General features: G+C 33.9%; 1 long non-coding RNA gene across 2 annotated transcripts, besides 2 other annotated features; it reads right to left on the bottom strand.

Moving 5' to 3' along the window:
* Positions 1,018-1,551: an enhancer, noted in NCBI's record as "NANOG hESC enhancer chr3:161940377-161940910 (GRCh37/hg19 assembly coordinates)". NCBI's record gives its function as "activates a minimal SCP1, AML or CMV promoter by ChIP-STARR-seq in naive H9 embryonic stem cells {active_cell/tissue: H9 hESC(naive)}" and the evidence as "EXISTENCE:reporter gene assay evidence [ECO:0000049][PMID:30033119]".
* Positions 2,542-2,711: an enhancer, noted in NCBI's record as "experimental_66028 CRE fragment used in MPRA reporter constructs". NCBI's record gives its function as "activates a minimal promoter by MPRAs in K562 erythroleukemia cells, with activity observed for both the introgressed and non-introgressed 3:161939302 variant alleles {active_cell/tissue: K562}" and the evidence as "EXISTENCE:reporter gene assay evidence [ECO:0000049][PMID:34662402]".
* On the bottom strand, positions 6,855-19,404 carry LOC107986049 (uncharacterized). 2 transcript variants are annotated; one of them, XR_001740572.3, is made up of 3 exons: positions 11,937-12,830; positions 8,727-8,805; positions 6,855-7,828 (listed from the first exon to the last, which is right to left on the bottom strand). It is a non-coding gene; the product is annotated as an uncharacterized LOC107986049 (long non-coding RNA). The 2 variants fall into 2 exon arrangements; XR_001740571.1 differs by lacking the exon at positions 11,937-12,830 and adding an exon at positions 19,350-19,404 and having other exon boundaries at positions 7,720-7,828.
* Between the last annotated feature and the right edge of the window lie 5,162 nt (positions 19,405-24,566).

The following is a 24,566-nucleotide window of genomic DNA, read 5'->3' as shown; positions in this document are numbered from 1 at the left end:
AAGCTAAAAAGTAGACAATGGAAGACAGAAAACTTTTATCCAAATAAGTAAGACAAAAATCAATGAAAACACAAAACATAGTAAAAAAGAAAAATGATATACTGATACAATGCTTAATTTATGAAATATATATAAACATTGAAACAATATTATAATAATATTTGCTCAACATTAATTCAAAAAGTATTATAAATGCAATGAAAATAGGCTAAATGGGAACAATGGTAATATTTTAATAACTATTTAACAATCTGACAGCACTAGCAAGTAAAAATAAGCAAGGACATAGGGGAATTAAACAAATAAAATCAACAACTCTATTTAATAAATCTATCATAAAATATATGTTTTTAGGACACTGTGAAAATTTCCTAAATCTTTAAAAACTGTTTTATTTAGCCAAATAACTAATAAAGTTCCAAAACTATAACCTTAGTTCCCCCAAAATTTAGAAAAAGAACTTTAGTGTTAACCACAAACATTCTGACTCTTTGAAAATTAAGAAACATATTTCTAAAATGTCAAAGAATAAATAAAAAACTGAAATCACTCATTATCTAGAAAACAACAAACAGAAAACACTGTCTTATCAGAATGTAAAGACAGCAAAATGTACCATCAAAATGACTATAGCATTAAAGAAGAGATATTAAAGAAAATACTCAAATTAAAAAAAGTTTAAAAACCAAAGAAAGTTATCAGGGGAAATTCAGCCAGATATCAGGCAAAATTCACCCCTGATATTTCATGTAGGTTCTTTTCTATTTTCCTTAAGTGTCGGCTGGTCTGAGAAATAAAGGGACAGAGTACAAAAGAGAGAAATTTTAAAGGTGGGTGTCTTGGGGCAGACATCACATGTTGGCAGGTTCCATGATGCCCCCCAGGCCGCAAAACCAGCAAGTGTTTATTAGTGATTTTCAAAAGGGGAGGGAGTGTACGAATAGGGTGTGGGTCACAGAGATCACATGCTTCACAAGGTAATAGAATATCACAAGGCAAATGGAGCCAGGGCGAGATCACAGGACCACAGGACCGGGGCGAACTTAAAGTTGCTAATGAAGTTTCGGGCACGCATTGTCATTGATAACATCTTATCAAGAGACAGGGTTTGAGAGCAGACAACCAGTCTGACCAAAATTTATTAGGCGGGAATTTCCTCATCCTACTAGCCTGGGAGCACTACAGGAGACTGGGGCTTATTTCATCCCTACAACTACGACCATAAAAGACGGCTGCCCCCGAAGCGGCCATTTCAGAGGCCTACCCTCAGGGATGCATTCTCTTTCTCAGGGATGTTCCTTGCTGAGAAAAAGAATTCAGCGACAATTCTCCCATTTGCCTTTGAAAGAAGAGAAATATGGCTCTGTTTCACCCGGGTCACCGGCAGTCAGAGTTTAAGGTTATCTCTCTTGTTCCCTGAACATTGCTGTTATCCTGTTCTTTTCTCAAGGTGCCCAGATTTCATATTGTTCAAACAAACACACATGCTCTACAAACAATTTGTGCAGTTAACACAACCATCACAGGGTCCTGAGGCTTATGAAGATGACAGGATTAAGAGATTAAAGTAAAGACAGGCGTAGGAAATCACAAGGGTATTGATTGGGGAAGTGATAAGTGTCCATGAAATCTTCACAATTTATGTTCAGAGATTGCAGTAAAAACAGGTGTAAGAAATTATGAAAGTATTAATTTGGGGAACTAATAAATGTCCATGAAATCTTCACAATCCACATTCTTCTGCCATGGCTTCAGCTGGTCCCTCCGTTCGGGGTCCCTGACTTCCCGCAACAGAGAGTAGGAAGAAATAAATAATAAAAAGCAAAACTAAAATTGATAAAACATAAAACTAAAAAGAAGGATTAAATTATTTTTAAGCTGCTTTTTTTGGTTCTTTTTTATTATCCCAAATAAAATCAATTAGTAAGAAAACAAAGAAACCAAGAGAGCAAAAGTGTTCAAAATTGGAAATGGCTAAAGAGACCTGCCAAGAATACATAATACATCAAAAGAACCTAACATTACATCATTCCTTAATAATGCCGTGGACTTATTATGAAACTTTACAATCATGCTACACTTTCTCCATCTACTTAACTATAGGCAATTGATCTGGGGCACCATTTAGGAAACCTGGGTCAAGGAGCAGCCCAAATTTTAGCCTTTCTAGAATTGTCCCCAAATTTTTCCAAGCTTAAAAATCATTTTAACAAACTAAAAATTGCATAATTGTACATGGTCTAAAACTTAATTCTGAAAATAAGTACTTTATCTTTTAATACTTTGAGATATGGTAAGTGCCTTGACTTTTAAAGAGTTGCTACTAATACCGTAATCTGTAGAAAATGCATGAGTTTTTCAAAATGCTATCACAAATATTATCTCATTTCATCTTGACAAAAGCTCTATATCCAGGCAGCAGCCATGAACTGTAATTCCTATTTTACAAAGTTGGGGGTGGGGGGGTGAACTCAGTAGAAACTTAAATCTAGAGATTTTTTTCCACATACCACACTTTATCTCACTTCCTTCTTCCCCTTACTTCATTCATCATTTTAAATAATTCTGTCATTCTTTTTGTTAACCATCCAGGCCTTCACAGGGTATCTCTGCCATTTACAGTATGACCAATAATTAGGCCACATATGTTTTGCCATATGTGCCTGTTATGGGTTATTTCATCCTGTATATGATTGATTTGGAAGGTCTTTCCAAATTCATAATCATTTTTATAACAATGAAAAATATAATTCTTATTTCATGCCTTCCAATAAAAATCTCAACCTCCATTTTAACTTCATCTCTATTCAATTTATATGCTGCTCTCTACACATCTACTAAGACACACACACACGCACACAGAATGAGAAAGAGGAGGTGGAGCAGAGACTGAAATAAATCAGGAAAAGAAGAAAAGAAAGAAGTTAAACCCATCCTAAAGCTTTTTCACAATCTCTCCCGTGGAGTCAAATGACCATCCTGTGTGCTGACCATGTTTTAAAATATCTTAGCAGTAGAACTTTAATTTTCTGTTTATTCGTTGAGCTCCCTAATAGGTTTGTTAAGGGCATACTTACCACTCCCAGCTGTAAGAAGAAGAAGTCACAAAATTTATAGGCTTTTGAAACATTTAACGGGTGTAATGAGGATGGGTTTTCCTAGGATATTGGCTGAGAGGAAACTTTGAGGGGGGTCAAGTTAGAACCAACTAAATACCGATACCAAGTACTGCTGAAGAGCAGGGTCACTGCTTTGAATATGGGCACCCCCATTCTTCATTCTCCCACTTCCTCGTGGAATGTGGTTGGAGGTATTCCTTGGAGTTTGGAAGATGGAAGACAATCCAGTGGACAGCTTGAATGGAATCAGCAAATTTTTTAGATCCCTCCTTCTAGACAATCTGTGAGTTACATGAAGGAAGCTATAGATGGGTTCTCCCACAGAATGACATTAACACAGATTTCAATTCTATATACATACTTATGACCCAGGACTACTTGGGTGGGATCACACACTGACAAATACAGGAATAGCATTGGACAAAAGCTTGGAAGATGAAAAATATCAGATAGGTTTAGAGAGTAAAGAGATTCTAATTGCATAGAAGAAAATACATTTAGTATGGAATCATTTCTGGTAGTTAAGGCAAAAAAACAAACAGATAATGAAAGTCCCCAAATGCTATGAAATAACATTTCAGTGGGGGTGCTGACAAAATTGGAGCCATCCTTTATGAAGATTACTTAAAAAGCAATGTGTATGATAGACTGGGGGAATAAGACAAATTGGAAAGCCAGTTATGAAGTTACTGTCATAAAAAAGCTGAGAGTTAATGAGACCAGAATCTAGGGCAATTGCCTTAAGACTGGAAAGTCAAATATAAGTATGAAAAATGTTCCAGAGATGGACTCCAGTGGCTTTGTAACAACCCCATATAACTATAATCAAACTCCCCTGTATTGTGAAGGAAATCCAGAAGAGGCAGAACTCACTCCACTTCTTATCTGAAGAACTTTGTTGAATAATATTGATTAGAAATCTATCGATATTGGAGAGCTGTCAGAATCAGTTTTGTGTTGTCCAGTGTATAAGTATAGTAAGCACCATGCTCTTATATCTACAAGCACCTGTTAAAGAATTTACCTATTAATTCAATAAATATTTATTAGATTTTGTTAAGTGCTATGCACACTTATACCCTCTGAGGATATAATAGCAGTGAACAAAACAGACATTAATTTGTGCTCTCTTGTAGCTTACCATCTAGGAGATGGTAAACAGATAATATGTTAATGTATAAATTAAATAAAATACACTATATATCAGATAATGATAAGAATTATAGAAAAAAACAAAGCCAGGAAGAGGAATAGTAAGGATCAATGGTATAGAAAGTTGCAATTCTAAATAAAGTGGCCAGGAAGGCCTCGTTGAACTCTATCCTTTAAGCTCCCACTTAAGGAGGGGAGGAATGAACCATATGAGTTCAGGGGACAAGAGAATCCCAAATAAAGGGAATAGCCAGTACAAAGGTCCTGCTGAGACAGAAGTGTCTCTGGTATGTTCAGACAAATGCAGAGAGGTCCACAAGGCTGAAGCAGGGAAGATAGAGAAAATATTAGTAGGAGCTATGGTTAGAGACATCTTGAGTCCAACAAATGGTGTTGTGGGCCATTGTAAGGACTTTGAGTTCAGCTTTACTGCAGTGAAGAAGGGATCTCATTGAAGGGTTTTGAACAGAGGAGCAGCATGATCTGATTGAAGTCCTAAAAGGATGACTTTATCTGTTCTGGATCTTCCACTGTAGAGTACAGAGCAGCAGCAAGGAGACTAGTTAGGAGGCTATTGCAATGATAAGATAATAGAAGGCATTGGCCTGGACCGGGTAGGTAGCAGTCAAGGTGGTCAGAAGTGGTCAAGCTTTGCATCTGTGTTAAATGATAGAAAAAAGAAAATCTACTTAGCCCCAGCTTTCATGAACAAATTTCTGTTTGTTATATAAGTATAAAGATGAATATTTGGGCCTTAAAATTAAACAATAATTTTAAGCCAGACTATTCAGATATTCTATCTCCCCTGGGCCCTGGCCAATGGTTCATAGTCTCCAAATTCATGAAGCTTGCTTCCAAAGCATAGGATAACCTTGGCTAAACTGTATAAATTGATATATGCATGCTAATTAGTAAAACATCTCCCTTATCCAGGAATAATCCACCATTCATGTGAACATTCAAAGATTTCCCAGCTAGTTCATTCTATACCCTTAGAACTCTTCTGTCAATTTTTCACATTTAGTACACGTGCATTTAATTGAATTACGTAAAGAAAATGACAGGCTTTCTGGCATCTAGAGAAATAGTCTCTGTTCTAAAGCTTTTTAAAATGCAAAACTAATTTTTAAATTTAAAATAAAGCTTGCTGATATCATTGATATGAACTACACGTTATGATTTATGAACTGTAGGCAAGCGTACTTAAAGAGACAATCAGGGCTGGACCACTGCTGAAGTGAACAAAGGGAGAGCTTGAGAAAAATGGATATGCATAAAGCTAATTTTAAAGTGAAATATTTATATGCACATATTCTTAAGTAAAATCATAACAATATGTAAATTTTATTGACTCCAGTCATATGCTTTAGTCAAAGGAACAGTTAAGGGACCCACTGGAACTGAATTTAATAGAAAAAGACTTGTAGCAAATTTATTAAATAAAAAGTATTTGTTTGGGTTTTAATTCTAAGCGTTGGGGCAAGCACACTCCACCATGTCTTTCCCTCTGAATGCAGCTATGAAATCTGGGCAGAATGCATGCATTTGCTGTTTGAGAACTCTGAATACCAAATAGTTGCCAGAAAGTCAGGAAAGAATGGCAACTTGAAGCATCAAGGAATCAGTGGTGAGTCTACCAGTTTTATTTTTCTATTACCCCCTGCCTAAGGTCATATTAAGCCAAAACCTGAAGTGAGCACTGAGACACAGAGAGTTCTAGCAGAGGTCCTTTATTCCTAGGTCGAAACAATCCTGTCTATAACAGTAACACCTGCAAGGGACCCCACAGGAACCAAATGTATTAGGGATCAAAATCTTCCTGTCCAATCAATGGTGCTGTGGTCCTAAAAGTGTGAGCTGAATTATCTTCACAATTGTTCCTTGCTATTTTGTTTTGACCCCAGATGTGGGCACAGCCACAGAAGTCTGTGCCAGAGTGAAGTAACGAAAACACCAACTTTCTGGCCAAAGGACTAAAAAGGGAAGCCCAGGGGAACCAGAAAGTACTGCAGAAATTGCAAAGAAGGCTCAGGAAATCAAAGCCATAAAATTATTCATAAAAATCCTGGGCTTCTTTCCCAGAGCTGCACATGTGTGAATCTGATCCTAGTCAGCAAACTAAATAAAGACTTTGAGAAGTGAAGTAACAGAAAACCTTCCAGTCCCATACATATCCATGGGGGATAAACATTCAGGATAGATCCCAATAGCACTGCACAGACTTTAAAATTGAACGGACATTCAAACCATAGCCAAAGTGAAGCAAACTGAGCTATCATTTTTTTTTTCTCAAACAACATACAATCAACCCTTTGCTGTATACTTTGCTTAAATTAAAATGCTTTCTCTTTAGTTTAACAACAGAATATAACAGTTTAGTTGCCCCATAGCAACCAAAGAAATAATTTGGCATGATTTACTCAGTGAATACAGTCTTTCATAGTGTCTATGTCTTATTTATCTGTTAAAATATTTTTCTTCTTTTTAAAAAATAAAATTCACAGTAAAACAATATTAGAAAATGTGCACATTTTGAATAAAGAAAACATTCTCTGTAAGTTTTCTATCAATTTGCTTCTAGTGTTGTTTTGTACATACTTTTATTTATTCTGTTTTTTAAAGTAACTTATGAATAAAGGGTAGTTTGTGAATATTTTCTAGTTAACAATTTTTTGGTAGATACAATGCATGTAGGAGATTGCGTACAGGTTGGTCCTTTTTCAAATGATCATGCAAGGGACTTTTGACAAAATTTTTTTATATTTGTACATATCTCTATCAACAGATTTGAGGTATAATTGAAATGTAATGATTGCGTATGAAGCATAGAATTTTCTAGATTTTGCCACTCTTCAAACCATCATGAAAATCAACACAGTGAATGTATATACCAGCCCCAAAAGTTGTCCCTTTGAATTGACACCCTTCTTCCTATCCCCTTCCCTAGGCAACCAATGATCTGTTTTCTGGCACTATAAATTTAGGTGGCATTTTCTGGGGTGCAGCTAAATCTTAAAATATATTTCTAAACTGCAATTACTGTGAACATATTACCAATGCCAATTAAGTAACAGACATTTTTTAATTGTTTCCAAAGAATCCACATCAACTCACTTCTTCAGCAAGAAGTACACAAAAGTTTGTTTTGGGGCATCTGATATGGTTTGGTTCTGTGTTCTCATCCAGATCTCCCCTTGAATTGTAATCCTCATAAGCCCCATGTGTCAAGGGCAGGACGAGGTGAAGGTAATTAGATCATGGGGGCATTTTCTCCCATGGTGTTCTCCAGATAGTAAGTGAGTTCTCACAAGATCTGACGGTTTTGTAAGCATCTGGCATTTCCCCTGCTGGTACTCATTCTTTCTCCTGCTGCCCTGTGAAGACGTGCCTTCTGCCATGATTGTAAGTTTCCTGAGGGCTCCCCAGCCATGCAGAACTGTGAGTCAATTAAACTTTTCTTTATAAATTACGCAGTCTTGAGTATTTCTTCATAGCAGTGTGAGAACGAACTAATACAGCATTGTTGCCGAAACTGGGTTTCATTAAACTTTTATTTACTAAAAGGAAGAAGAAACAATTATCTTGCTGTTATTTTAACTTGTTTTTATTGAATTATAAATGAAAAGAGATTTTGTTTCATGCTTATTGATAATGTTTATATTTTTGTAAAACTTTCCTATTAATATCATTTCTTTAGTTTTTTATGGGGCTACACTATTTTATTAATAAGAGCACTTTTATTTTGCAAAATTAAGCTCTTTTGTTCTCTACGATCTAACTGCTTTTGTTCTTTTCTTCTGGCAAAATTAAAAGTTTAAACAAAGATATAAATATTTAAAGTCTAGTAGATATGATATTATACCAATTTAGTGAGAACAAAAGTATTCGTTCTATAAGTAACTGAAACATATTCTACAAATAAAATGTATAAACACATAAGTAGGAAAGTTTTATTCAATAACTCTTTGGACTTCCACAAAAATAATGTCCATATGCATTAGAAATTTTTAAAAATGGATGCTAGAATAACATTTGTAAATGTGCTTATAATCATAGAGTAGAAGGTTAATCAGAGAAAAACTCAAAATTCAGAGGTTAAGCGATAAAACATTTGCTTTTGCAAGTATTGACCATTTCTGTCTCCAAAATCTTTTTATACTTTAGTGATCAAAAATTGCATTGTTTATAAATTTGACTTGGTCTTGATCTACACAAATTTTCACACAAACATGCACATATAAGGTTATTTTTCTACAATTTTTAGATTTTATTTATACTGCCGGTATATTTAAATAGGTTCTTAAAGCAATATTAAGTCACAATAACTTATTTTGTGATTAATATTCACAAAATAGTGATGTCTCTCAGTAAGAACAAATTTTATACTTGGAAAAAAAAGTCATAATTTTAACCAAAGCAAAAGATGCTCTCCCAAGTATTTTCGAGAATACTTACAAAGCTCTTTTTACTGCTCTGTAAGACCAATCTTCTTGGGAAGATATTATTTGCCAAATTAAGAGGTGAGAAGGGTCAACTAAGATTCAAGTAGAGAAGAAATATCAGCAAATATAGGTAGTACATTTTAAATATCCTAATAGTAGTTTAAGATGTGATATTTATTAAAATTTTATCTTAAATATATTTGATTAGCAAAAATATATTTAGTTTTAAATTCACATATTAAATTAAAATTTAATCTATTTTCAAAACAACTAAGATTACTAACTGAAATTCCACTTTAAAAAATTATCAGTGTCTGAAACAATTGGATGAAAATAACTCATGAATATTTCAGGATATTCTATTGATCACATATCTATTTTCATTATATATCATATAAATAATATTCAAAGTGAGTTCAACTTGACACATTTGCCATGGAAAATTTAGCCTATACAACTATTTAAAGTCACTTTCAATACTTCTTTAAAATCACCAATATCTTATTTAGTGTGTAATGCTAAGGTCTGTTAAATTCTTTAAATTAGTTTCACAATTAGTATTATAATCTTTGGCACTAGTTTAATTAATGTCAAGACAAACATACTCTGGAAATAATTGAATTGACTATTTTTGGCCATGTTAAGAGGAGAGACTAGGAGATAGTGCTGTTAAAATTGTGGGAGTTAGGAGAGGCTTCATAATGGAAGTGTTAGAGGCACTGTATATTCCAGGAAGGTCATAATGCTTCTGGTTATGAGGAGAAGAAGGGGGCAGTATCCACATGTGGAGTGAGTGGAGGTGAGCCTGGATCACTCACAAGGGTCACAATGAAGGATTCCGATGCCAAACAAACAAAAAAAGTTTAAAATTTTTAACTTCAAACCAATATTTCTCAACCTTTTAAAAATTGTATTCCCTCTAATATTTGTTTTTAGTCAATTTTCTACACATATCTACTAGGCAAAACAAGTTGTATTTTAGTAGTTTGCATTAGAAAAATAATAGATCTATTGAACATGTAAATTTTTTTTTTTTTTTTTGTATTACATACTGCCACCTCCTCCCACCGATTTATTCTTATGGGGGATGAGTCACTTATTTCTGTCTCCCAAAGTTTTAGAATCTCTGCTGCAAGCCTTTGGGAAATATTCATCCATCGAACAAATATTTATTAGGTATTACTATGTATGACACAGCCAAGAATTTTGTACAGAAGGAAGATATGAGCAGATGTGTGATAGATTTGATAGGCATATTTCTCTTGCAGTACTTAATGGAAAGACTAAAGGCGATGAGATTATCAACTGTCACGTAATTTACAGAGGAGAAACAGACAACAGTATGGAAAATACCAGTAATGCAAATATGTCAGATATTGTAGAACAGGCAGCTGTGATCATGGATGCTAACATTCAAAGTTTCAGGCTTGATAGAACAAAACTTTTGTAGCATATGTTTTGGCTCTAAAACTGTCTTGGACCTCCAAGAGAAGACAAGTTTCTGTGTGTCTCCATATGGTACTTTCTGTGTATCTGTGTACCGGGCTGTATACAAGTTGTTGGAAAGCAACCTGAAACCTGGGTACACACAGGAAGAAGGTGTTTAGGATTTTGATTATAGTTTCCAATCAGTACTTATGATTTCAGTAGAGCTGATGTTTAATAATTTGCTTAAAACCCCCCATATCACAGAATAAATTCTAAGCTTATTTGCTGTAACTGAAAATTTATCCTTTTGGATGAATAAAAGGGCTCTTCCCTTTCCCATCCTTCCTTCCTATCCTAGATGATTGCCTCAGTTCTTCCTTTACAGAGCTAAAGCTCAGCAATGATTCCCAAAGAGAGCCTAAAGGGAAGAATGGAGAGGGCTCCACCAGCTGATTGTAGAAAATGCCTTGGGATCATATGAAAGTAGACATCTCCAAATCTTCCACTTACCTAAAGAATCACTTTTCTGAGGATCTCCACGCTTATTCCCTCAGGCTCTATGATATTTAAATATGATATTTAAATTGATATTAAATATGATATTTAAATTTAATTTAAATTAAATTAAATATGATATATTAAATATGATATTTAAATATCTTTTGATATTTAAGGTTTCATTTTGAAACCTTTTAAGTTTCATATAATATTCTGAGATGATGAGAAGTGATAAAAAGTATTGAAGATTTAATGCCCTGTGCCTGCACGTGGTACTTTTTTCACAGCCTAAGAGTTAAATGATAAGAGATATTTACCTGGAAGGAAATTTGGTTTATTTTAGCACTTTCTGTATAAACTCTTTGGAAGGATATTAAATATGGTAATTAAAGTTCATGAAAGTATAAAGCTGGGTATAATTTTTGCTTTATAGTTTTAAACAAGTTTTCCTTTCTATAGTATCTTAAATTGGCTCATCTATATTTTAGATACTTTTATTCACAGAAAAAAAAATGGCACTATATTTTAAAGTATAAATGGAAATCAAATGCACTGGGGCAATATCACAAATGTGTATGATACTTTAAGTTGATATCATATTTTTTAAATTCCCTTAAAATTATATTGTGTTGCCTTAAAATGTATTTCACTGATAAGTTTGATTAATGTAAGACAAAAGGATATATAGAGAAAAATGACTTTCTGCCTGAAATCTTTACCCTAATTTCAGTAATTTTAAAAATATATATACTTATATATAGAAATAGGAACTTTAAAAACCTTCAGAGATGCAATTTAATCTCTCTTAACCTTAGTTTCTCCATATATGAAATGAGAGTGATAACAGTATTACTTTAAAGAGCATAGCTATTATATCTCTTTACATATATTTTAGTAGGATGAAAATGTATAAAGTTGATAGCTGAAAATTAGTGAACTGACTGTAGTTCTAGTATTCTGTCTGACTTTGGAAATCTAGAAATTATAGGAATATGTTCAACTTGATTCATGTACATCATTTGATGTAAATGCCCTTCCCTTTCCAATCATAAAAAGGATATAATTAATATTATTTGATCTTCATCTATAGGAAATACATACATTCTCTTTTGTATAGATTTTTTATACAATTTTGTATAGATTTTGTATAGATTTATATACAAATGTAACCCATTTGTATAGATTTTTTGTAATTTTTAAGATAGATATTTCTAATAGGGACTTTCAAATGACCTCAGACAGTAAGATCACAAAATTTTGAGAATGGTCTGTATTTGTCTTTTTGATCAATACTCACTCGGAAGCATCTAAAGATTTCATGGCTACCATGACAACCATGGGTTTCCTGCATTCAGCTTCTGGTTCTAAGGACTTTATAACTTTCAGTCAGACATAGAAATAACCACTTTATTATATTCCAGTCAGATGTATTAGCACGTTTACACAGACCTAAAATAAATTAAGATACAAGCCAGCATTTTATGAAATGTGAAATGAAATTTCATGCAATTATATTATATTTTTAAAATATGGTAAAACCTTAGGGAATACAAAATATTAATTTTTAAGCTATAATCTTGGATGTCATATGCTAATTTCTTTATAACTAATAAAACTAGTAAGTATGAAAATGTATAATTATTTCCTTCAAATATTTAAATGATTACTAATAAACAAGACTTAAAACTTGTAAAAGAGACATGAAAGTCTAGCTACATTAAAGAAATATTTCAGAAAGTAAACTATAAGCCTTTTCTATTTCATTGCATAGATGAGTAACCTGTGGCATCTGAAGCTATTTTGAGTGGCTTTTATAGTGAGTGTACAAATTATAGCACATAAAAATGTTGAGGCATGCATTCAAAAGCAGCTTCATTCTCTTGTCATCCACATAAAGAGAAAGGGAAAACAGAGTCTTTGTTGGATTCTTGAGCTGGGAGCAGTGTGGAAGGAAAGTGATGAGAGAAAAAAACTAAATTAGGAACAAAACAAAGCTTTGCTGAGCTTTTGAGTCCAGCATCACTGCCCTAAGACTTCTTTTTTCATATGTTGCTGGAATTTGTGAGCTCCTGGATTCTTGAACACCTCCAAATATCTTCCAGCTATGCCTCTTGGAACATTACTCTGAAGGTAAGATGAAAGTGTCAAGGAAAGCTTCTCCCATTTCCAGTTCTCCCACTCTTCTTTTGACAAGCATTAGCCACAACTAAAAGGAAATCAGGTATAATTCTTTGCAAGCTGCATGAATTTCTATTCAGTGGTGATGAGGGAGAAGTGAGGCATCTCATCATTTCAAGCACAATGTGACAGCCACTGCCTGACCAAGTGGTTTCCAGAGCTGCTGCAGTTTGCCTCTCTCACAGGATGGCAGCGAAACTCCAAAAACATGTGAGAGAGCAAGAATTTGGCAACTAAAAAATAGTCTACAAATAAAAAGAATTCTTCATAGTAAAAAAAAGCACATTACCAGTGGAATTCTTAAATATCTATTTTTCAGATGGTATTATCTATAAACCACATAATAAATTCATCTTCTATGGACACCACATATTGAAATAAATGTATGGTATTAGCAACCCTAAACTGGAAATAGCTGAGTAATAATGATTTAAATGTTGGACAAAATATTGAATATGTGTCCTTGATTAGTTGGAATGAAGAAGAGAGTGAAATATCTGAGGAGATCTTATGATGTTTTAGAAACGCAGCTAGCCCCAATTCCATTCACAAGTAGATGAAAGCAGCACACTCTCTTTTTGGGATAGCTTTTAGCAATATCAAGTTCTAACTATAATAATACTTTTTTAACTGATGGAAGTGCCATTTCTCCCCTGACCAGAAGACAATTCTCTGAGTTCTATGAAAATCTTATTTTACCCAGAGGAGTATTTTCTGCTCTTGCCCTCAGTTAGTGTGTGCCAGCCACATACTAAAGTGGCTGAATTTAGTTAGGGCCTCTTACTGTCCTGTATTTCCCACTCAGTCCTTCTTTTAGGTTGGCTTCTTTACGCCTGTGGGAGAAAACAAAATAGACACTTGAATATGAGAGTTCTAGTCCTGTATAAATAATACGGTAAGGCCTTCAGATAATTAGATTTCTAGGCTAAAAAGAAAAATTAGTGATTCAATAACAAAACCATGTTTCTTATATCTAGACTGTTTATATTGAGACATTCACCAGACTAAATTAGCTTTATTTCTTTTTTCATATTATGTTTATCTCAGAACTGAAAACAATTTTGATAGCTAAATCGGTGTTTCAAGATATATAAAAAAGATACCTCATCATATATCAGAGAATCTTATTCTCCCTGGTTCAGGAGCTTTTCTTCATCTATTTGTGAAATAATTATAATTTATATCCCATCTACAAGCAACTACTTCCAAACAAAATAAGCTGTCAGCACATTAACCAACTTGCTTTTATATTCTGTATTTCAACATATTGTGATTCAAGTCCCTAGACTGAGGCAGGAGAGAATCTGAATGATTGTAAACTGTGTGCATGTATGTGTTTTATGTATTCAGTGACAATCTTCCAAGAGGAAAATATAGCAGAATGCAAAAGTATTAAAACTTTGGCTAATAAGAGGAATGAAAAATCAAATAAAATATAAAAAATAGGAAAGTCATGAAGAGGTTAGGTATCCCCAAGGAAGAAAAAAAAATTTCATTTTCCACTACTGTCAACCAAAGAGTACCCAAGTAACATGTACGGTCATTAATTTATTTAGAAATTCTTTTTAAAAAATAAATATTTAACTCTTATTATTGAAGACTTCCCACCATGGCCCTCTCCTAAACACCCACTCTGTTTCTTCAGAATTTATAACTTTCCTAATGTAAATAAGGAGACATGGAAGAAAAGATTAATCTTGTTTTCATAGCCTAGGTAGACTTGACTACAGCATGGTGTAAACCACTGTCCTAGGTGTGAGCAATACCGGAAGCTCATTTCAGGAAAATAAGGATTCATTAAATTTTGTGTATCCTATATCTCTTTCTACAAAATCTTTTCAACTACTTCCTATTTCACCTTTCTCCCATAGCAAAATGTAAGCAATAGGATCGGGCAATTATTAAGAAAGATGGCATGCTTCCTCTGGTTCAGTCCTCAAGGATCTCATCCGGTAATGCAGTGGGTTTTGCTATGGGGACTGACCACATAGCATTTGCACTGACTACATGGCATTTGTAATCCCTCTTCTGAACCATGATGCTGTTGATGACATCTTGGTGCAAAGATCGTTCAGCTAAAGTTCACACCTCAGTGACAACATAGGCACAGGATTTAATAAAGCTTACTAGAAAAAATGAGAAAGGTAAAGAAATTCAACTGTAGTTACCTCTTCAAATGCCCAACTCTTTAATAGCAATCATTTTTGGCTTGACTATTTTGAAACAATATATTTTGACATTGCCATTTTGATTCAGTCATTTTAATATGGAGTGAAAAAAAAACCTTGTTAAGGCATTAGATTTAAATCTCATTTCTTTTTACTAAAATATATCCACTACAGACATGTCTAGCCCAGACCTCAATTACCAAAGTATTATACTTTATATCTTATTTAAACATTTGCATAATTAGATGCTACCTCTAGAATACAAAATAAAGATATATGTTAATATGAGATATACATTATTCTTTAAGGGGATATCAGGTTTATCTCCCAAATTTTCCATTTAATAATATTATATGTAATTTGTATACAGAGAACTATTTATTAGAAATAAAATGAAAAACTGGACTTCCTAAGCCATTTGAAATGATAATAAGTGATCTTGTTGTGTTCAAATACCATCTTTCTCCAGGTCTTATAGTTGATGCAAATAAATAAGAAAGTTTGAAATAAAGCAATCACAGATGCAGGTGAGTCCTGAGAGAATGAGCACATACTTATTTTAACAATTGATGGGCATTGTGATATGTGAAAAGAGGTTAAGTATTGATTCCTAGATACATGATGTTTCATCTGGATTGGGATTAATCCCCTTTCTGTAACCCTTGCCTAAACTTTACTCTAGCACTAACACCTGCTTTTTGCACAGAACCTACCTTCTCTCCTGTCCTCATTGTACGGTGAGGTTAGCTCAATGATAAGGTGAGGCCAATAATGATAATACAAGCTGAAAAATTAAGTTTTCCTAAGCCATGTCAAAAACAACATTATGTGAAAATTGCACATCACAGTGCTATGTCAAAAAGCTCCTGGCATTAAATGCTTTTGTTAAAAAAGTTGCAAATGTCAAAGGGTTTCATCAAAATGTCATGTCATCTTGACCTTAAACTCTTCATAACCCAATCACAAAAGAAGACCAAGACTTCTTAGATGAATGAGAATGATCTCAGTGAATGGAACTAGACAAGAATACAGTGTGTGGATATTATGGGGAAAAGGGGGTAATAAGAATGAAAAAAATAATAGTAAGTTAAACAATTCCACAATCACTTTTTTATTCTTAAATCTATAAAGGACTGACCATGAAGGTAGTTAAATATTCCTTTTATCAAAACTTCTGTATAAGCCTTTACAAAAAGTAGCATGAGTCACTTGACAGAATGGTAAGGTTTTTTTCCAACCATCTCAAAATATAGCTTCCTCCCAAAGTGGCAATTGAAATGTATATCAAGCATAGAAGTAAATTGCTTAGTAAGGATGAAATGTAATACAATTTTCTGCTAAAGACCAAATCCCATTTTAAGAAAATCTTAATAGTCACAGGGATAATTTATTTTTTTCAATAATACTGTATTTTGCAAGTGGAAGTAGGGATAACCAAGGGCATCATTTTTCTGTCAGAAACAAGATGTGTTAGAACAGCTAACAGAACTTTTTCACTGATAATTTATATATCTCACAAATGAAGACAATTCTGATTTCTGACAAAATTTTATTGTATTTTTATTTCAACCTCCCCTAGAATGTCTTATTACATATATTATGGGAAGACTAAAATATTGGTCTGAGAAGTAAGACACTTATAGGACTTTGGGAGAGGGACCATGAGGTTTTGGTGAAGTCACTACTCTAGAGACGTGGAGTAGTCTCTATAGTATAGTTCCTTTGCTTGAGGAGCATTCCCAAAAGTCTTTACTAATATATTTAACAAAAACATGAGGTCTCCTTGGCAATATGTGCATACAATCCAATAATGTGCATAAGATGCCCCGCTGATCTTTTTTCATAGTAAAACAGTTTTCTGTCTGCCCCTGAAAAACCCACTCCAGATTCCAGCATGAGTCGGGTCCTTGTCTTTCCTTCCTTCAATGGCATCTAAGTTACAAATGAATAGTAAAGCACTTCTTTGACTCTAAAACAATGAAAAAAAAATAAGTTTTAAGATAAATATTGATTTTTAAATCAGCAGGATAACAAATAATAGTTTAATAACCAAGGAAATTAATAGTTATTCTTGCCAACTAAAACTAGACTGTTGAAGACTAGTACTTTGTCTTATTCACCTTTGTATTTTCATCAATTTTCTTTATCCCTGATGCTGCAGGAACTTAAGAAATTCAAAAAATAAGCAAATTGAAATGCTTTTATTCATCCTAGCACTGACACTGAGACAATACTGTGTGTATGGTTCAAGAGACACATACTACATTCTATATTCTACGATTGTTACAATCCTTGTATGTGTGGTGAAATATGATAAATCACTCTGGTGCCCAATTAATTAGCATATACTATTTACATAGTTCATACTGTAAGTGCATATTATGTCAGCCTGAACAGCTTTAATGTGTTATCTAAAAAACTTTTTCATTTCTGAATGACATTAGCTATTTCTATAGAAATGCACATAACATGAGTTATATCAAAATCATCTAAAATTTTTCACTTTAACTTGACTCAGTGTATTTCACTCTCTTAAAAATAGGAATGCATGTGCAATATTGATGTGGATAACTTATATAATTATGTGGGGAAAAATGAATCAATGTTAATTAGTGAAAAAAGTAGATATGAAATCATGAGAATATATTACAGGTTACTGAGACCTTGTGAAGAAACAAATAAAATAACAGTGCAGGCACTGCAGAGATTGTACATCATTTTAACAAGGTGAGATGAAAATGCAGCAGCGGTTTTGTTAAGCATTATTTAGGTTTCAGATGATGTGATGCTGCCACTCCTGGTTGCCATGGCAATAGGATTCCCACCATATAATGCTTTTATTATGAAAAAAAAACACATGGAAATTAAATAAGCAGTATTTAGAGATAAGAGTATTTAGTGATAATCTACCCCTAACATGGGGGAAAATCTAGAGAGAAGTCTGAGTTGAACTGAACCACAGAAAAAGAATGAGGATAAGAAGGTATTAATTTGAATTATTTATAAAAGGGTTAAGGGGCTAGGTTCAGCTTATATGCCAAAGAGTCTCCTGGTATGGCACAATTTGTTGTTTTTCTCAGTCACAGTTATCAAGGTCAGTGTGGATAACTAATTATATAGCTGTATGTTCATCATGTATAGCCAGTTCTACCCACTGACACTAATGGTTAGAAGGAAACTGAGAGGGGTAGATCACAAAAATATAATGTCCTTATGATCTGTACCAATTAGTGTGGTATCAGAGCAACATTATCAGACTCTTGCTAAAATTGCTCTCCTACACCTCATTATCACCCAGAAGAGTTATGTACAGCAGAGGGATTTGGGGGTGGGGTGGGTCAAAGGCAATCAGTTTCAAGGATTTGTGCAAAATTAACATATTTTGAGCAAAATTAGAATATATATATGCTATTTTCACTTAATGTTTAGATTCACCATGGAACTAAATATATTTGGAGACACTATTAAGTTATGATTTTTTATTCTAGGTATTTGGATTATTCATAGTAAGGTATAGTGTATTATTTTGAAGTAAGATGTGCAACTCATATTCATTATGTGTCATACAATGACTAAAAAGCATTATAAGTAAGGCACTTCAAGAGATGAAAAGCTGTAGTTGAGAAGCGCTATGCATATTTCACAAACCAAGTGAAATAAGCATGAGCTTTGAATTCATAAATCTTACTTGTGTCATTGCTTTACCCTTTATTTGTTGAAATTGCTTCTTACTATTTTATCCATGCAAAACGTCATCATTGCCTTTTCACTATTCATTTTAATAAAAATGAATGATTTGTTATCATGAAACTTTACATTTTGAAAATAATTTTGTGAGTTTCTTGCCAGCCGAGTTTTTTGCCAACAATATGCTCTAAAAGTAAAAGGAAAGATAAATAAGTAAATCCTTATAGAAAATTCTGATGCACCTCAGAACAGATCCATTGATGAAGAGAGATTACAAGATTCTTGCCAGCCTTCCTGCCCATCATATGGTACATTTTGCTTTTTTTCCCCTGAGTGGATGTTCACAAGTTAGGAGAGGAAGAAGTAGAAGCATGTTTAACAGGATCCAAGAATCAATAGTGTTTCAACATCCATTTTTTATAAAGTAACTAAAGGAAACTCCTGTGTGTGTGTGTGTGTGTGCGTATGTGTGTGTGTGTTGTAGTAGTAGTAGTAGTAGTAAAGCGAGAACTCACTGATTCCCAAAAATATCTCAATAGATCCTCAGATATCTAAAGATCCCAGTTTGAGAAGCAAAACATTAAATCCTAATGCCATTTTAGTAGTTCTTTAGCCCCAATACAGAAGCAAGAAAGATAATCACAAATACAGCTATAAAATCAGTTAACAGAACTCACTTGCAAAGTGCTCATCTTGAGGATTCAGAATGCTTCCAATGTCCTTTTATATTGCTGTAAAAGTAAAAACAAAAATAAATAAGTAAATCCTTATAGAAAATCCTTTAGCACCTCAGAACAGATCCACTGATGAAGATTACAAAATCTTAAGCTAAGCTTTTATTTTATTACTTCATATTAACCTATGATATGTCATTTTACTTAAATCTAACAAGTCAAAATCAGCATGAAAAGTCAAGCTACAGGATGCAGATTTCCCCCCCAAGTAGCATCATTAATAAGATCCAAAATATGGCAAAGGTATTTGCTCTCAATTTCGACTCTCTTGTTGGAATTCCTTTATCCAAATGAAAGGGGGAGGATGGGAACTTGTATAATAAAAACTAATGTTTTTAAAATTAACCAACACTCTATCAAAGTGTAGCAGCATGTAGAATTATTTATTTTGTGATAGTATGTTCTAGATATATCTTTGAATTTTTTTTTTTTTTTTTTTTTTTTTTTTTTGAGACGAGAGTCTCGCTCTGTCGCCCAGGCTGGAGTGCAGTGGCGTGATCTCGGCTCACTGCAAACTCCACCTCCCCGGGTTCATGCCATTCTCCTGCCTCAGCCTCCCGAGTAGCTCGGAATATTGCGCCTGCCACCATGCCCAGCTAATTTTTTGTATTTTTAGTAGAGATGAGGTTTCACTGTGTTAGCCAGGATGGTCTCGATGGTCTCGATCTCCTGACCTCTTGATCCACCCGCCTCGGCCTCCCACAGTGCTGGGATTACAGGCGTGAGCCACCACGCCCAGCCTGAATTTTGTTATTTAATCACAGCTGTAAGTAGGCTGAAAATCCAAATTTATCAGGAAATTCTGACATGTCTACAAATTTTATGCCTCTTAACTAAACTTTGTTTCTGTTATCTCATTAAAATTATTTTTATATTATGAAGAGAAAAAAAATCACTAGTCTGAAGAAAATATCGATCTATCTTAGTCATAAATTTACATATCAAGTCTAACCTAACAAAAATGCTTGTTATTTTGTTTTTACACATCCCCTAGAGATAGGACAACTACAAAATCATGCTGTAAAAATGTCTGTTTTTGTACAGAATTATAAATAGTGCAATGAGAGTACCAAATAAGGTCTGTAACTCTGCCCCACCACCCACTGCAAGAGCTAAGCTCTTTCCTAGGTTGCTTTAGAATTCAAAAACTGAGTTGATAGCAGAAATGAATAATCCAAACTTGCACAGTTACATTTTTGGTCTTTTTAATCATATGTCTTAGATTCTGATTGACCCCCTGTGACCTCACTGCTAAAATTAAAAAGTTACATTTTTTTCTTTCCCCAGTTATTAACATTTTTAAAAAAGTTTTCTTTATTGTTGTAATCCTGACAACCTGTCGGGGTTAGAAGAGCTCTTTTTCTAACGTGGGTAATTATGTTGGCTTCCCTGAACCCATTCTTATTTGTAAGCTGAAGGTTGAACATTGTCTCTAGTCTCCCCTTATTTTTAAAGCCTTCGTGTCCATCACATGTCCTGAACAATACTACAAAATAATTTTGTTCCTTAATAATATAATCTAAAAAACACACCTAAAATAATGGACCTTTCAATGCCGATGAAAAAAGTTATGCTCTGTTTTATCAGAATTTTATGACTTCTGCCCATGTAAACTCATTTACTATGTTATGGCCAAGTCACACTTTAAACTGTCATGAGAATACACTTATATGTGTTTGCGCATATGTGTATAAGTGAAGTCCATAAGTATAAAGGTATGTGTATATATTCATATATATGAAGTATATTATTGGTTTTACTACATATTTATACCAGTGTGAGTTATTATTATTATTCCTTTGTTACAGATAAGAAAACTGACACTCACAGTAATTGATATTTTTTCTAAAGTCATATAAATAGTAAATGGCAGAGTAAAGACTGAAACTCATTTGGAGCGACTACAAACCTGACACTATTTCTACAATAATGATTTCCTCTTTTCAACACAATCCTGTAAGAATTTCTTTTAATTTTCCCTTCTTTTAATCTATCTGATCATGTTATTTTCTAATATGAGGGTTCTGGTCCAAGAACTAATTACTCATTTTTTATTTTATTATTTTTTAGACGGAGTCTCACTCTGTTGCCCAGGCTAGAGTACAGTGGCATGATCTTGGCTCACTACAACCTCTGCCTTGTGGCTCAAGCGATTCTCCTGCCTCAGACTCCTGAGTAGCTGGGATTAGAGGCATGCACCACCATGTCCAGCTAATTTTTGTATTTTTAGTAGAGACGGGGTTTTACCATATTAGCTAGGCTGGTCTCGAACTCCTGACGTCGAGATCAATCCACCTCGGCCTCCCAAAGTGCTGGGATTACAGACACGAGCCACCATGTCTGGCCTACTTATTTCTTTAATAATCATCTTTTAAGGTCAATTAACCCCACGTTACTTCTGTAGTTTATATAGCTGCAGTAAAAATTGTCTTAATGTCATTGTCTGCTAATTCTGACATCTGTACTTGTTTGGGGTGGGTGTCAAGTGATTCATTATTTTTCTCACTATAAGTTATATTTTCCTGCTTTTTTGTGTTCCTGGTGATATGGTTTGGCTCTATGTCACCACACAAATCTCATCTCAAATTGTAATCCCCGTATATCAGAGGAGGGATTAGGTGGGAGGTGATTGGACCATGGAGGCAGTTTCCCCCATGCTGTTCTCAGGATAGTGATGGAGTTCTCATGAGAGCTGATGCTTTTAAAGTGTGGCACTTGCTCCTTCTCACACACACTGTCTCCTGCCCCCTGTGAAGAAGTTGCCTGCTTCCCCTTCCACCATTATTGTAAGTTTCCTGATGCCTCCCCAGCCATGTGGAACTGTGAATCAATTAAATCTCATTTGTTTATAAATTATCCAGTCTTGGGTAGTATCTTTATAGCAGTGTGAGAACAGACTAATACACCTGTTAGTCTTTGATTGATACCAGCAATTGGGAGTTTTATATTTGAAGTGCTGGATATTTTTGTATTCTTGTAAATATTATTGAAATTTATTCTAGCATGTAGTTATTTGGAGCACACCTTGATCCTTTTAGGTCTTGCTTTTGTGATATGTTAGGTGGATTTCATATGGTCCCTAGTCTAAAGCTTAATATTCCCAGCTCTTCAAGTAATGTTCTCTCCAATTACCTGAAATGGTTATTTCTCTGCCCTCAAGAAGGAAACAGTGCTTGTATCTGTTAACCATGCTGGAAACTTCATAATTTGACAGTCATTTGGTAGAGTTCTCAGAAGGCAGTTTCCCAATATTGAGAGATAATAAGCTGTAGACTAAGTACTGCTCTGAACAAACCTTCCTTCCATTAGTCAGCTTTAAAAAGTTCACTTTCCCTTTTTCATTCTAATTCAGCATTTAAATCTAAATTTTACATTAACCTCACCTTCTTCCTGGAAACTTTCCTTCTTGTTCCTCATGAAACTTCAGCATCCTTATTTGTAAAATTAGGAAAATAATAATCAACCACACAGAGTTGCTGTAAGAAAAAAGTGAGGCCAAAATGGAACTGCTCTGCCTTCTTGTTTCAGCTGATGTGTTATAAACAAGCACATCAGCTAAAACTTTTTCTGGTTTGTGTGTGTATGCATGCTTTCTGTTGCTGATTTCGCTGTATAAACTGGCCCCCAAGCATAGTGCTAAAGAATTGTTTAGTGTTCCTGATATGGTTTGGCTGTGTCCCTATCCATATCTTATCTTGAATTCCCACGTGTTGTGCGAGAAATCCAGTGGGACGTAATTTAATCACGGGGTCAAGTCTTTCCTGTGTTATTCTCATCATAATGAATAAGTCTCGTGAGATCTAATGGTTTTAAATAGAGAAGTTCCCCTGGACAAGCTCTCTTTCTCTTTTTGCCTGCTGTCATCCACGTAACATGTGACTTGCTCCTCCTTGCCTTCCACCATAATTGTGAGGCTTTCCCAACCACATGGAATTGTAACTCCAATTAAACCTCTTTTTTTTTTTTTAAACTGTTCAGCCTCTAGTATGTCTTTATCAGCAGCATGAAACGGACTAATACAGTTCCTAAGGACAAGAAAGCTGTAATGTGCCCTATTGACAAAATATATGTATTAGATAGATTTCATTTAGGGATGATTTAAGTGCTGTTAACTCTAAGCCAATGTTAATGAATCAACAATATACAGTAAATAAGACATCAAGCAGAAACACACATAACAAAGGTTATGTGTTGATTGGTTGATGAAAATATGACTACAGGTTTGCAGGAACCTAACCCTGTATTTCTTCTAGGAGCAAAGGGTCAATGTTTCCTAATTCAGTGTTTATAGCTACTTTATAGAACATAACTACCACAAATAATGAGAATTGGCTATAGCTAATGTTGTATCTTTCCATTGCTAATAAAATGTATAAAACTAATTTTAAATGTTCTCAGTAAAACACAAGAACTTGATATACAAAGAATTATATAAATCACTCTACTTTAAGTGTGTCTTGGTAATTTAGAAAATTTCTTTAAAATGTTGAATATGTCTCTTCTTTCATAGAGAAATGAATTATTGATTTGACTCTTTATATTTGGGACTTTAAAAGTAGCACATAGTTTATCATCTTTCAGATGAGTTGTAATTTTAACGGAACTAAACTAAAAGCAGAGAATTGCATTTTTGTTTATTCTGAAAATATTTCACAACTGTCTACTGCATTAATATTCTTTGGCACAAAACACCCAATCAAAAAAGATTTATACATATATGTGTGTGTGTATATATATATACACACACACATATATATGTGTATATACATATATATGTATATATACACACACACATATGTGTGTATATACATATATATGTGTATATATACACACACATATGTGTGTATATACATATATATGTGTATATACACACACATGTGTGTATATACATATATATGTATATACACACATATATATGTGATATATACACATATATATCACATATATATGTGTATACATATATGTGTGTGTATATACACATATATGTGTATATATATACATACATATGTGTATATATATGTGTGTACATATATATGTATGTATGTGTGTGTGTGTGTATATATATATACTTTTTTTTTTTTTTTGAGACAGAGTCTCGCTCTGTCACCCAGGCTGGATTGCAGTGGCGCGATCTTGGCCCACTGAAAGCTCTGCTTCCCG

Source organism: Homo sapiens, chromosome 3 (assembly GCF_000001405.40).
Source record: "Homo sapiens chromosome 3, GRCh38.p14 Primary Assembly".
Taxonomy (NCBI): domain Eukaryota; kingdom Metazoa; phylum Chordata; class Mammalia; order Primates; family Hominidae; genus Homo; species Homo sapiens.
Note: the sequence above shows the minus strand (reverse complement) of the source record. Positions and strands in the feature narration are given on the sequence as shown.